Below are 14,305 nucleotides of genomic sequence, written 5' to 3' on the forward strand. Positions count from 1 at the left end.
GAGTAAGAGTTCTTCATAAGACATCATCTTACTTCATCCTTACATCCCAGGTGGAAAATGTTACTATTTTCCACACTTTGCAGCCTCAGAAGGGGTCAATAACCCACCAAGTCCCCAAGGTATATAAGGCTCCCCTTTCCCCATGTTCCACCCTCTCGTCCATTTACCCCCAACCTTCTCTGCCTGTGCTGGTTTTTCTTTTCTTCTTCTTTTTTTTTTTTTTTTTGAGACAGGGTCTTGCTCTGTCCCTCAGCATAGTGGTATGATCATAGTTTACTGTAGCCTTCAACTCCTGGGCTCAAGAGATCCTCCCACCTCAGCCTCCTGAGTAGCTGGAACTACAAATGTGCAGCACCACACCTGGCTAATTTTTTAATTTTTTTGTAGAGACGGGGGTCTCATTATTTTGCCCAGGCTGGTCTCAAACTCCTGGCCTCAAGTGATCCTCCCACCTCAGCATCCCAAAGAGCTGGGATTTCAGGTATGAGCCACAGTGCCTGGTGCCTGTACATCTTTATCAAGGCTTCTCTTGAACTCATTCTGTGACTAAGAGGCTTCAGTCACACAGAGGGTGCAAGCTAAAGAGGCTGGAAACACACCGAGCAGCTTCAGATCTTCCCCACCCTGAGTCTGAAGGTTTCTGAATGCTGCTATTGGCTATCAACTTTGTATCTCTTTTGCTTTCTCCAAACCTCAAGTTCTTGCTTAAATACCTTTCATAACATCCCCTAAACAAGAAACCTACCTGAGTCTTAAATGTCTCCTCAATATCGGCGCTCAACGTGCTCCACTTATCTGCTTCCTGAAGAGATTCGGCAGCAAGTTGCATTCTGGACTTCACTTGGTCAATTTCTACCAACACCTGAAAGAGGCGTGAGGGGTGAAAAATGAAGGGGTAGGTCCTTTTTCTCCATCTGCCACCAGGGACTTGAAATGTAAGTATGGTGGCTTGCTTCTGTCTTTAGGGAGCTTCTGTCTCCCAAAACACCAATCATCTGGCTAAATTTATTCAGCAGTGCTGAAGAGATGAACCAGCTGAAAGACCCAAGCAAAAGCATAGTTTCGGGGAGCCAGGCACAGTGGCTCACGCCTGTAATCCCAGCACTTTGGGAGGCCAAGATGGGAGGATCACTTGAGACCAGGAGTTCCAGACCAGCCTGGGCAACATGGTGAAACCCTGTCTCTACTAAAAATACAAAAATCAGCCGGGCATGGTGTTGCACGTCTGTGATCCCAGCTACTCAGAAGGCTGAGGCACGAGAATCGCTTGAACCTGGGAGGTGGAGGTTGCCATGAGCTGAGATCACGCCACTGTACTGCAGCCTGCACTCCAGCTACAGAGCGACACTCTGTCTCAAAAAAAAAAGAGCATAGCTGGAGTGCTGGGCAGAATCTTGAGTGATGGTTGGCCTCCCAAAACACCGTGCTGTTCTAAAGCCCTTACGAGAGTGACCACCTTCCCAAAGCAAGAATCACCATTTACAACAGGAGCCAAAAGGAGCCAAAATACCTGCATGGATTGAGATGTGTCCTGTTCAAATTTTTTAATGTCCTCCTTGACAAGAATCATCTGTTCTTTCAGGAAAGATGCCTCCTGTTTTAGGGCTTCAACATCACGGAGCACTTTGGGCATGTTCTGGAGAGCTTGGTGACTTGTTTCTGTAGTTAAAAAAAAAAAAAAAAACAACAACAACAGCGATAGCCACAAAAGGTGAAAGTTGGACCAGCCACCAGTAAAATACAGGAAACAAATCAGACAACAGAAAGGAAATGCACGACCAACCAAACGGTTTTTGGAGCCTGCAGAAAATATGGGGCAGGAGAGGAGATGGGCAGTGAGGTGGCCCCTGCCGGGATCACGTCCCCAGACTGATGGGAAAGGGCCTTTGATATCACAAAGAATCAACAATCAACCTGTCCCAACACCAACTTGCCACCACCAGTGAAATCATAACTCCACTTGCAAGGAGGCATGCCCCAGGAGCTTTGCATACATCATATTACTTAATGTCCACGGCGGTCATTAGCAGCCACCTCCTACTGATAAGAAAACTCAGAGAGGTTAAAGTAACTTGCCCAAGATCTTACAGAGCTAAAAGTAAGCCTCAGATAGGTCTGGCCCCAATGCCTGCTTTCCATGGTCTTTTTTTTTTTTTTTTTTTTTTTTGATACAGAGTTTCGCTCTGTCACCCAGGCTGGAGTGCAGTGGCGCAATCTCGGCTCACTGCAACCTCTGCCTCCCAGGTTCAAGTGATTCTCCTGCCTCAGCCTCCTGAGTAGCTGGTTTTATAGGCGCCCGCCACCCGCCTGGCTAATTTTTTGTATTTTCAGTAGAGACGGGGTTTCACCATGTTGGCCAGGCTGGTCTTGAACCCCTGACCTCAGGTGATCCACCCGCCTTGGGCTCCCAAAGTGCTGGGAATACAGGCATGAGCCACCAGGCCCGGCCTATTTTAAAATTATTTTTGAGACAGGGTCTCACTCGGTTGCCCAGACTGGAGTGCAGTGGTGAAATCACAGCTCACTGCAACCTCAACCTCCTGGTCTCAGGTGATCCTCCCACCTCAGCCTCTCAAGTAGGTGGGACTACAGGCACACACCACCAGGACTGAATAATTTTTATATATTTTGCAGAGACAGTTTCACCATGTTGCCCAGGCTGGTCTCAAACTCCTGGGCTCAAGGGACCTGCCTGGCTAGGCCTCCCAAAATGCTGGGATTACAAGTGTGATCCACAATGCCAAGCCTAAAAATATCTTAAATATACCCATTACTCATCATCTTCACTGCCATCACCCCAGTTGAAGCCACTATCATCTCTTTTCTGGACCTCAGCAATAGCCTCCTGAACCATGTTACTCTGCTGCTTAAAAATCTTACAATGCCTTATTTTTAAATTAAATTCACACTCTATTTATTTATTTATTGAGACAGAGTCTCCCTCTGTCACCCAGACTGGAGTGCAGTGGCACAATCTCAGCTCACTGGAACCTCTGCCTCCTAGGTTCAAGTGATCTCCTGCCTCAGCCTCCCAAGTAGCTGGGATTACAGTTGTGCACCACCATGCCCGGCTAATTTTTATATTTTTAGTAGAGACGGGGTTTTGCTGTGTAGGTCAGGCTAGTCTCAAACTCCTGGTCTCAGGTGATCCACCCACCTCAGCCTCCCAAAGTGCTGGGATTACAGGCATAAGCCACCGCACCTGGCCTTAAAATCAAACTCTTTAATGTGACACTGAAATCCCTGCATAGCACTCTAACCTGGGTGACAGAGCAAGACCCTGTTTCTTAAAAATAAAGAAATAAAATAAAATCCCTGGCCAGGCGTGGTGGCTCATGCCTGTAATCCCAGCACTTTGGGAGGCTGAGGCAGGCAGATCACGAGGTCAAGAGATCAAGACCAGCCTGGCCAACGTGGTGAAACCCTGTCTCTACTAAAAATACAAAAATTAGCTGGGTGTGGTGGTGTGTGCCTGTAGCCCCAGCTACTCGGGAGGCTGAGGCAGGAGAATCACTTGAACCTGGGAGGCGGAGGTTGCAGTGAGTTGAGATTACACCACTGCACTCCAGCCTGGCAACAGAGTGAGACTCCATCTCAAAAATAAATAAATAAATAAATAAAAATAAAAATAAAATCCCTGCATAACGTGGCCCCTGTGGACCTCTCCAATCCAACACTGGGTCTTGTTCAACAGTGTATTTTTAGAACCTAGAAAAGAGTTTGTGCCCAATAAATATTTGTTGACTGACTAAATGGAGAAATTGGTCCTCCAATTTGGGGTCCTCAACATGTGCTTGAACGGCTACAATCACCCTTCCTCATCGCAGACTTGGGCCCTTGTCTCATCTTGCATAAAAATAAATGAAGCTTTAAACCTATGAAGGCTACCTACTGCCTAAGGGATAAAAGCCAAACTCCCAAGGCTGGCCAGAAAGGTCTTTCGCAGGCTGATCCCGATCTATTTATCTGCCTCATCTTCAGTTACATTTCCCCTACAAAAGTGTGATTCTCTAATAATAACACTACTAATTATCTTGTCTCACTCTGTCCCCCACATTGGAGTGCTGTGGTGCAATCCTAGCTCACTGCTGCCTCGAACTTCTAGGCTCAAGCAATCCTTCCGAGTAGCTGGACTACAAGCATGAACCACCATGCTGGCTAGTTTTTTAATTTTTTGTAGAGATAGGGTCTTGCTATGTTGTCTAGGCTGGTCTGGAACTGCTGGTCTGGAACTCCTGGCCTCGAGCAATCCTCCCACTTCAGCTTCCCAAAGCACTGAGATCACACCCAGACTGTTTATTGATATTATTCATGCAGCTCTGTTTGAACTTCTCACCTTTCCCTGGACTACGCCTTCTTATAGCCACACTCCTGTGCATATGTTACTCTCTCTCTCTCTTTAATACCAAGGAAGTAGTGAAATATAATGGTTAAGGGCCTGGGCTCTGGAGCCAACTGTCTGGGTTCAGTCCAGGCTCTCCATTCATTAGGAACATGATGCCGAGCAAGTTACTTAACTTCTCTCAACCTCAGTTTCTACAAGTCTACAGTGGACATAATAACTGTGCCTACCTCTAAGGATAACTGTCAGGTTTAAATTAGATAACCATGCCCAAAAGCAGGTACTATTCACATTTAGGCCAGGACAATTCTTCACTGTGCAGGACTGTACCAAGCACTGCAGGACATTAAGCATCACTGGGTCCTCCCACTGAATGTCTTATGTCTGAATGCCACTGAATGTCACCCCTTTAATGCAACAACTAAAAAAGCTCCCACAGCCAGGCGCAGTGGCTCACGCCTATAATCCCAGCACTTTGGGAGGCCGAGGCGAGTGGATCACAAGGTCAGGAGATCGAGACCATTCTGGCTAACAAGGTGAAACCCCGTCTCTACTAAAAATACAAAAAATTAGCCAGGCGTGGTGGCGGGCGCCTGTAGTCCCAGCTACTCGGGAGGCTGAGGCAGGAGAATGGTGTAAACCCTGGAGGCAGAGCTTGCAGTGCGTCGAGATCACGCCACTGCCCTCCAGCCTGGGCGACAGAGCGAGACTCCATCTCAAAAAAATAAAATTAAATTAAAATAAAATAAAATAAAATAAAATAAAATAAAATAAAATAAAATAAAAAATAAATAAAATAAATAAAAAAGCTCCCACAGTCCAGGCGCAATAGCTCATGCCTGTAATCCCAGCACTTTGGGAGGCCGAGGCAGGCAGATCACCTGAGGTTGGGAGCTCGAGACCAGCCTGACCATCATGTAGAACCCATCTCTACTAAAAATACAAAATTAGCCAGGCATGGTGGCGCATGCCTATACACCCAGCTACTCGGGAGGCTGAGGCAGGAGAATTGCTTGAACCCGAGAGGCGGAGGTTGCAGTGAGCCGCGATCACGCCATTGCACTCCATCGCACTCCATCCTGGGCAACAAGATTGAAACTCCATCTCAAAAAAAAAAAAAAAACCTCCCACCAATTTCCAAATAGTCCCTGTTCCTGAGGGCAGGAACAAGGATAAGGGGAGGCAAGGAAAGCATTGCAACCCATGTTTCAGAATCACTTAGTTAATACATATAGAGCACCAAAAAGAGTGTCTGACATGTACCAAACCTCATATATGTGCTATTATATCATTATTATTATTATTTTTGAGACAGAGTCTCACTCTGTCACCCAGGCTGGAGTGTAGTGGTGGGATCTCTGCTCACTGCAACTTCTGCCTCCTGGGTTCAAGCGATTCTCCTGCCTCAGCCTCCTGAGTAGCTGGGACTACAGCGCATGTCACCACACCCACCTCTAATTTTGTATTTTTAGTAGAGATGGGGTTTCACCATGTTGACCAGGCTGGTCTGGAACTCCTGACCTCAGGTGATTCTCTCGCCTCAGCCTTCCAAAAGTGCTGAGATTACAGGCATGAGCCACTGCGCCCAGCCAATTTGCTATTATATTATTATTAATGTCCTTTCCTCTTTGCCCTACAAAGTTTTCCTTCAAGGTCTAACACAGGGCAAGTGCTTTATGATTCTCCTAAACAAGAAGTAACTGCACCCTCCTGACAGTTCTCACAACTCCAGATTCTATTCTGAGTAAAGCCATCCGTCATTGTAATTTACTGTTTCTATCTTCCCCAAAGGCAGCAAGCTCGAGCAAGATAAACTTTTCCTCCCCACTGCCCATTTCTGGACACATGCATAGTAGATGCTCAATAATTAGTAAAAGATGCAAGGTACAATAAAGAATAAGGGCTGGGCGCGGTGGCTCACGCCTGTAATCCCAGCACTTTAGGAGGCAAAGGCTGGAGGATCGCCTGAGCTCAGGAGTTTGAGACCAGCCTGGACAACATAGTGAGACCCCATCTCTACAAAAAATCAAAAAATTGTGCCATCTGGCATGGTGGCACAAGCCTGTGGTCCCAGTTATTCAGGAGGCTGGGGCAGGAGAATTCCTCGAGCCCGAGAGGTGAAGCTGCAGTGAGCACTGACCACACCACTGCACTGTAGCCTGGGTGACAAAGTGAGACCCTGTCTCAAAAAAAAAAAGAAAGAAAGAAAACAATCTGCAGTGAAATAGAGCCCCCTCCCTACCTTTTCTTAAACAATGGGCACATCTGGCCGGGCACAGTGGCTCATGCCTGTAATCCCAGCACTTTGGGAGGCCGAGGTGGGTGGATCACCTGAGGTCAGGAGTTCAAGATCAGCCTGGCCAACATCATGAAACCCCATCTCTACTAAAAATACAAAAATTAGCCAGGGGTGGGGCACGCACCTGTAATCCCAGCTACTCAGGAGGTAGAGGCAGGAGAATAACTTGAACTCAGAAGGGGGAGGTTGCAGTGAGCTGAGATGGCGCCACTGCACTCCAGCCAGGGGGAAAGAGCGAGACTTCGTCTCAAAAAAAACAAAAAAACAAACAAAAATGGGAACATCTCTTGGACTATCCACTCCCAGTGGAAGCAGTCTGTTTGGTCTTTCCATCTGAGCCTAGGAGAGAGACTTGTGTGCAGTACGTACTGAATCAACACACAGTGAATCAACACACGGTGAATAAAAGTCAAGTTGAGGAGTTACATGAAATGGTTGCCAGTGCATGTTATTTTTTATAATTTAACTTATCCTCAACAAATGGTTTAGGCCAGGCGTGGTGGCTCACACCAGTAATCCTAGGGCTTTGGGAAGCCAAGATGGGAGGATCACTTGAGGTCAGAAATTTGAGATCAACCTGGGCAACATAGTGCGACCTTGTCTCTAAAAAAAAATTTTTTTTTTTAATTAGCCAGGCATGGTGGCACATGCCTATAGTTCCAGTTACTTGGGAGGCTGAGGCGAGCGGACTGCTTGAACCCAGAGTTTGAGGCTGCAGTGAACTATGATGGTATCACTGCATTCCAGCTTGGGCAGCAGAATGAGGAATGAGACCCTGTCTCAAAAAAAAAAAAAAAAAAAAGGTTTAAGTCTCCACTGAGACCAGCCTATCTTCCTCAGCTGAAATAAAATCCACTAAAACAATGTTTTCTAGATCTGTGTCATTCTCTTATACCTATACTATAATACGTTTTTTCCAGATATATGGATCTGTTGGCTATTCTTTCATACTCTCAAAATTCACTTTTTTTTTCTTTTTACAGTTTATTGTTTGGTACAAAACAGGCTCTTTAACTCTTTGAATAAACACCTCACAGACTCGTGCTCCTAGATTACAAAAAGTCAAAGCCAATTTTCTTTGACACTGGGCTCTTGACTCTGAGATTCAAGTCACTATAACAGAAACTGGAGTTGTTTTATCTTATATTCTGGAAGGTGCCTCAACAAAGACATGTTAAGAACTGGTTAAAACTTCTAGCATTTAAAAAGATCCATCTTGTCTTCCAGTGCCTATGGATAATAATAAAAAGGGAATCCCAGAGATCTGCTATTGAATTATTTAGAGAAGAGCTACTGCAATAAGATCCACTCTTTTAAGTTCCAAAAGGAAACTTCAGGCCAGATGTGGTGGCTCACAGGTATAATCACAGTACTTTGGGAGGCCAAGACTGGAAAACCCATTATGCCCAGGAATTTGAATTTGAGACCAGCCTGGCAACACAGTGAGATCCCATCTCTACAATTTTTTTTTTAAACAGAATTTGTGGGGCGCGGTGGCTCGCGCCTGTAGTCCTAGCGACTCGAGAGGCGAGAGGATCGCTTGAGTGCAGGAGTTCGAGGCTGCAGTGAGCTATGATCGAGCCACTGTAGAGAGACCCTGTTTCAAAAGAAAAAACAAAGAGAAAGAAAGAAAAGAAAAAGGAAACTTATAGCCCAGCCAGAGGAGGAAAAACAACACCCAAAATTAGCAAGTGTTCAAGACAGCCCGGCACCCAGCTGAGACTCCCGCTGACGTGATCAGGAGTTCGGGGCTTGCTCTTTTGCCGAGGGTATTTGCTGTCCATGCGTGCCCCGCCCACCTGAGTGCCTCACGCAAGTTCGGTGACCTCTGCCCAGCCGAGAGCAGGGGAGGGTCCCGCGGCCAGGGCCCCGAGCGGCTCACCCTCCACGGCGTGGTTCACCTCTTGGATGAACAGCTGCAGCTTCATCACCAGGGTGGCTGCGTGGCCATCCGCCTTCCCGGACGCCGCCTCCTTGGAGCCGGCCCTGAAGGCCGCATTGATCCACTCCTTCACGTCGAAGTCGTCTGCCAGGAACTTGGAGAAGTCCATGGCGGAACTGCCTCAGGCCTGGCGTCCAGAACTTAAGAGTTGGCTCCGGGCGGCAACGGGGATGCAGAAGCGAGCGAGCCTGCGAGAGCACCGAGGCTAGCCTCCGAGGCGAACCCCAGAAACGCCAGGACGGGTAACTTGCCCCTTTGCGCTTCCCCGCTCAGCGCACTCAGTTTGCGGCTGGGAATGACCCTCGCCGCCCGCCGTTCTTCTTCCGGAAGTCGTTGGCCGTTACCATAGTGACTGCAGGCGTCCGGAGCGCTGAGCAGAGGTGGGTGTGGGAAAACGCCCCGGACTGAGAGCTCCCGGCACCGACAAATATCCCATGTCTGCTAACATTTGCCGAGGACTAAACTATATGCTTACTATAAAGCCCTGACATACATTAGCGCATTTACGCGGTGGCTCGCGCCTGTAATCCCAGCTCTTTAGGAAGCTGACGCGGGAGAATCGCTTGAGGCCAGGAGTTCTAGGACAGCCTGGGCAACAGTGGAGCGCAGTGGGCAGCAATGGAGTGCAATTGAACGATCTCTGCTCACTACAGCCTCAAATTCCTGGGCAATTGAACGATCTCAGCTCACTGCAGCCTCAAATTTCTGGGCTCCAGCGATCCTCCCACCTCAGCCTCCAGAGTAGCTGGGACTACAGGCGCGCGACAACACGCCCGGCTATTTCTTTCTTTTTCTTTCTTTCTTTATTTTTTTCTGAGACGGAGTCTTGCTCTGTCGCCCAGGTTGGAGCGAAGTGACGCGATCTCGGCTCACTGCAACCTCCGCCTCCCAGGTTCAAGCGAGTGTCTTGCCTCAGCCTCCCGAGTAGCTGGGATTACAGGCGCGTGCCACCACGCCCGGCTACTTTTTGTATTATTAGTAGAGATGGGGTTTCACCACGCTGGCCAGGCTGGCCTCAAACTCCCAACCTCAGGTGATCCGCCTGCCTCGGCCTCCCAAAGTGTTGGGATCACAGGCGTGAGTCACCGCGCCTGGCCTAACTAATTATTTTCTTAATGATGTGTTTTGAGGTGCAGACCTTTTAAAGTTTGTTAAGTTCCTTATCACCTTTTTTTATGGATCATGCTTTTGGTGTTGCGGCTGAGAAATCTGTGCATAACCCATAATCACAAACAATTTCTCAGCCTGGGCAACATAGGAAGACCCCGTCTCTGCAAAAAAATTAAAAATTAGCTGAGTGTGGTGGCGCACACCTGTAGTCTCAGCTACTCGAGAGGCTGGGGTGAGAGGATTGCCTGAGCCCAGGAGGTCGAGGCTGCAGTGAGCTGTGATCACGCCACTGCACTCCAGCCTGGGTGACAGAGCGAGACCCTGTCTCGAAAAGAAAAGAAGAAAAGGTAGGGGAAGGTATGAGGGTATTCTTTAGGTTCTAAGTTTTTATGTTGTTTCAAGAGTGGGACCAACCCAAGGGGGAGGACAAGATGTCATCCTTGGAAACCCTACAGGGGACAGTTTTCCAGGTTGGCCTGCCATTGGGGTATGAGTGGCTGGCTGCCATCTCCAGGCCTGATAGTCACTCGTTTTTCATTGGCATCTCCCTTGGTTTGTCTCATTCTTCTGGGTTGAGTAGGTTTTAACTGGGGTAACCCTTCTGCTAGGAGTCCCAGTTATTTGGGGGGAGGGGAGAGGAGGGAAGGAGAGAGGAGGGGAGCAATGCAGGGAGGGGAGACGAGGGGAGCAATCTGATAGTGTAAGTCCTCTTACTTTGCTCTTGTTAAAAATTTAGGCAGGACACAGTGGCTCACGCCTGTAATCCCAGCACTTTGGGAGGCCGAGGCAGGCAGATGATGAGGTCAGGAGTTTGAGACCAGCCTGACCAACATGGTCAAACCCCATCTCTACTAATAATAAAAAAATTAGCTGGGCATGGTGGCACGCGCCTGTAATCCCAGCCACTCAGGAGGCAGAGGCAGGAGAATCGCTTGAACCTAGGAGGCAGAGGTTGCAGTGAACCGAGATCCGCCACTGCACTCCAGCCTGGGCAACAGACCGAGACTCCATCCCCCCCAAAAAAAAAAAAAATCCTGCTGGGATTTTGACAGGGATTATGTTGAACTGTTGAATTGTTGGATTAATTTTAGGAGAATTGCCATCATGACAATATTGACTGTTCCAATCCATAGCATGAAACGCCTCTTCATTTATTTAGATGGGAATTTTTCAGCCTTGGCACTACTGAGCCCAGATAATTTTTAGTTATGGGGGCTGTCCTATGCATTGTAAGATATTTCGCAGCATCCCTGGCCGCTACCCATTAGGAGCAACATCCTCTCCAAGTTGTGGCAACCAAAAATCTGTCCACACAGTGCCAAGTGTTCCCTAGTAGGAATCACCCCTGGGGATTTAGATCTGATTTAGATCTTCTTTAATTTCTCTCAGCAATATTTTGTAGTTTTCATTGTATAATACAAGTCTTGCACTTATTTTGTTAAATTTATTTATTTATAAGTATTTCCTTTTCTAGGTGCAGTGGCTCATGCCTGCAATCCCAGCACTTTGGGAGGCCGAGGCAGGAGGATCACAAGGTCAGGAGTTCCATACAAGACTAGCCTGCCCAACATGGTGAAACCCCGTCTCTACTGAAAATACAAAAACAGCCTGGCGTGGTTGTGTGCACCTGTAATCCCAGCTACTCAGGAGGCTGAGGCAGGAGAACTGCTTGAACCCGGGAGGCAAAGGTTGCAGTGAACAGAGATCGGGCCACTGTTATCCAGCCTGGGTGACAGAGTGAGACTCCATCTCAAAAAATAAATAAATAAAATAAGTATTTCCTTTTAATGCTAACATGAATGGAATTTTCTTAATTTTCATAGTTTCTTGTTACAGAAAAATGATTTTGTGTGTGTGTGTGTGATGGAGTCTTGCTTTGTCACACAGGCTGGAGTACAGCAGGGCAATCTCAGCTCACTGCAACCTCCGTCTCCCAGATTCAAGCAATTCTCCTGCCTCAGCCTCCCAAGTAGCTGGGATTACAGGCATGTGTCACCACACCCAGCTAATTTTTGTAGAGACGAGGTTTTGCCATGTTGGCCAGGCTGGTCTTGAACTTCTGACTTCAGGTGATCCACCTGCCTCAGCCTCCCAAAGTGCTGGGATTACAGGCGTGAGCCACCACACTCAGCAACAATTGATTTTTATAGATTTATCTTGTACCATTTGACTGTTAAATTTGTCTTCTAGTTTGTGTGTTGGGGTGTTGGTTGGGATTTGTTTACATACAGGATCATGTCATCTGTGAATAGACACTTTTTCCTTTGCAATTTTTTTTTGGGGGGGCGGGCGCGGGGGGACGGAGTTTTGCTTTTTTTGCCCAGGCTGGAGTGCAATGGCGCAATCTCGGCTCACTGCAACCTCCGTCTCCCGGGTTCAAGCGATTCTTCTGCCTCAGCCTTCCAAGTAACTGGGATTAGAGGTGCCCACCACCACATGTGGCTAATTTTTCATATTTTTACTAAAGACGGGGTTTCACCATGTTGGCCAAGCTGGTCTCGAACTCATGACCTCAGGTGATCCACCTGCCTCTGCCTCCCAAAGTGCTGGGTTACAGGCGTGAGCCACCGCACCCGGCCAGAAGTCCCTTTCTATTCCTAGTTTGTTGAGAGTTTTTTTAGGATGTTGGATTTTGTATTTTTTTTTCTCTGCCTATTGAGATAATCATGTGGTTCTTGTCACATTCTATTCAAATGATATAGTAATTGATTTTAAGATGGCAAATGAATCTTGGGACCAGGCACAAAGTGCTGTAATCCTAACACTTTGGGAGGCCAAGGCGACGGATAGCTTGAGGTCAGGAGTTCGCGACCAGCCTGGCCCAAATAGGGTGAAACCCTGTCTTTACTAAAAATACAAAAATTAGCTGGGCATGATGGCACACACCTGTAATCCCAGCTACTCGAGAGGCTGAGGCAGGAGAATTGCTTGAACCCAGGAGGCGGAGGTTGCAGTAGGTGGAGATTGCGCCATTGCACTCCAGCCTGGGCAACAGAGCAAGACTCCACCCAAAAAAAAAAAAAAAAAAATTGTCGGTTTTAGGCCAGGTGCGGTGGCTCACACCTGTAATCACAGCACTTTGGGAGGCCGAATCACTTGAGGTCGGGAGTTCGAGACCAGCCTGGCCAACAGGGTGAAACCTCGTCTCTACTAAAAATACAAAAATTAGCCGGGCATGGTGGTGGGTGCCTGTAATCCCAGCTACTTGGGAGGCTGAGGCAGGAGAATTGCTTGAATCCAGGAGGTGGAGGTTGCAGTGAGGTGAGATTGCGCCACTGCGCTGCAGCCTGGGAGACAGAGCAAGACTTTGTCTAAAAAAAAAAAAAAAAGTCTATTGTATGTGATATTAACATAGCCACTCCAGCTTTCTTATGATTACACTTGCATGGCTAATTTTTTTAAATTTTTTTTTATTTTGTGTTTTTTTTGTAGTCCCAGCTGCTAGGGAGGCTGAGGCAGGATTGCTTGAGCCTGGGAAGCGGAGGTTGGAGGAAGCCGTGATTGTACCACTGCATTCCAGCCAGGGCAACAGAGCAAGACTCCATCTCAAAAATAATTGTCCATTTCATCCAAGTTGTATAATTTGTTGGCATAAAATTGTTCAAAGGATCCTCATATAGTCTTTTCTCATCTGTAGAATTGTGACGTCTGCCTGTTCTTTCCTGACTTTGGTAATTTTTTTTTCCCTTGGTCAGTCTGCTGAAATTTGTGAATTCTGTTGCTCTTTTAAAAGAATCAGCTGCAGGCCGGGTGCGGTGGCTCACGCCTATAATCCCAGCACTTTGGGAGGCCAATACGGGCAGATCATCTGAGGTCAGGAGTTTGAGACCAGCCTGGCCAACATGGTGAAACCCCGTCTCTACTAAAAACACAAAAATTAGCCAGCCGTGGTGGTTGGCGCCTGTAATCCCAGCTACTCAGGAGGCTGAGGCAGGATAATTGCTTGAACCTGGGAGGCAGAGATTGCAGTGAGCCGAGGTCAGGCCACTGCACTCCAGCCTGGGTGATAGAGCAAGACTGTGTCTCAAAAAAAAAAAAAAAAAAGAACCTATTTTGACTTTGTTAATTTTTTTTCTATTCAACTTTGACTTTAATTTTTTTCTATTTTTCATTTTCTATTATTGATCTCTATGCTAATCAGTTTCCTTCTTTGAATTTAGTTTGCTCTTTGGTATATTAAAGTAGAATCTTAGGTTACTGATTTTAAATACTTTATTTTCTCATATAGGCATCTAAAATTACTAATTTTTCCCTCATAGTCTAATGGCTAGGAAAAAATAAAAACAAAAAATAAAATTATAAAGCAAGACACTGTCTCTACAAAAAGTTAAAAAAAATTATCTAGCCATGGTGGTTTGCAACTGTAGTTCCAGCTACTCAAAAGCCTGAAAGGCCAGAGATCATTTGAGCCCAGGAATTTGAGGCTGCAGTGAGCTATAACAGTGCCACTGCACTCCAGCCTGGGTGACAGTGTGAGACCGTCTCTAAAAAAAATTTCCTCTGAGGCCGGCTGCGGTGGCTCACACTTGTAATCCCACCACTTTGGGAGGCCGAAGTGGTTGGATCACCTGAGGTCAGGAGTTCACGACCAGCCTGACCAATATGGTGAAAC

The 14,305-nt window shown here is 47.1% G+C and overlaps 1 protein-coding gene and 1 long non-coding RNA gene across 3 annotated transcripts in view, besides 2 other annotated features; one reads left to right on the forward strand and one right to left on the reverse strand.

Annotated features, from left to right (window-relative positions):
• Window positions 1-8,887, reverse strand: part of COG7 (component of oligomeric golgi complex 7) — a 64,697-nt gene extending 55,810 nt beyond the window's left edge. The window contains exons 1-3 of one of the 2 annotated variants that reach the window (NM_153603.4): window positions 8,524-8,887; window positions 1,511-1,659; window positions 746-862 (exon numbers count right to left, since the gene is read on the reverse strand). In NM_153603.4, coding sequence (NP_705831.1) covers window positions 746-862; window positions 1,511-1,659; window positions 8,524-8,692 — 435 coding nt within the window. In that variant the 5' untranslated portion in view covers window positions 8,693-8,887. Of the gene's footprint in view, window positions 1-745; window positions 863-1,510; window positions 1,660-8,440; window positions 8,461-8,523 lie in introns of those variants that run through there. The other variant, XM_017023870.2, reaches the window with a different exon arrangement.
• LOC124903667 (uncharacterized) lies at window positions 8,441-11,487 on the forward strand. The gene is made up of 2 exons (XR_007065030.1): window positions 8,441-8,963; window positions 11,168-11,487. It is a non-coding gene; the product is annotated as an uncharacterized LOC124903667 (long non-coding RNA).
• Window positions 8,547-8,876: an enhancer, noted in NCBI's record as "active region_10580". NCBI's record gives its function as "activates an Ori minimal core promoter by ATAC-STARR-seq in GM12878 lymphoblastoid cells {active_cell/tissue: GM12878}" and the evidence as "EXISTENCE:reporter gene assay evidence [ECO:0000049][PMID:35858748]".
• Window positions 9,167-9,216: an enhancer, noted in NCBI's record as "active region_10581". NCBI's record gives its function as "activates an Ori minimal core promoter by ATAC-STARR-seq in GM12878 lymphoblastoid cells {active_cell/tissue: GM12878}" and the evidence as "EXISTENCE:reporter gene assay evidence [ECO:0000049][PMID:35858748]".

This window comes from Homo sapiens, chromosome 16, assembly GCF_000001405.40.
Source record: "Homo sapiens chromosome 16, GRCh38.p14 Primary Assembly".
NCBI classification, from domain to species: domain Eukaryota; kingdom Metazoa; phylum Chordata; class Mammalia; order Primates; family Hominidae; genus Homo; species Homo sapiens.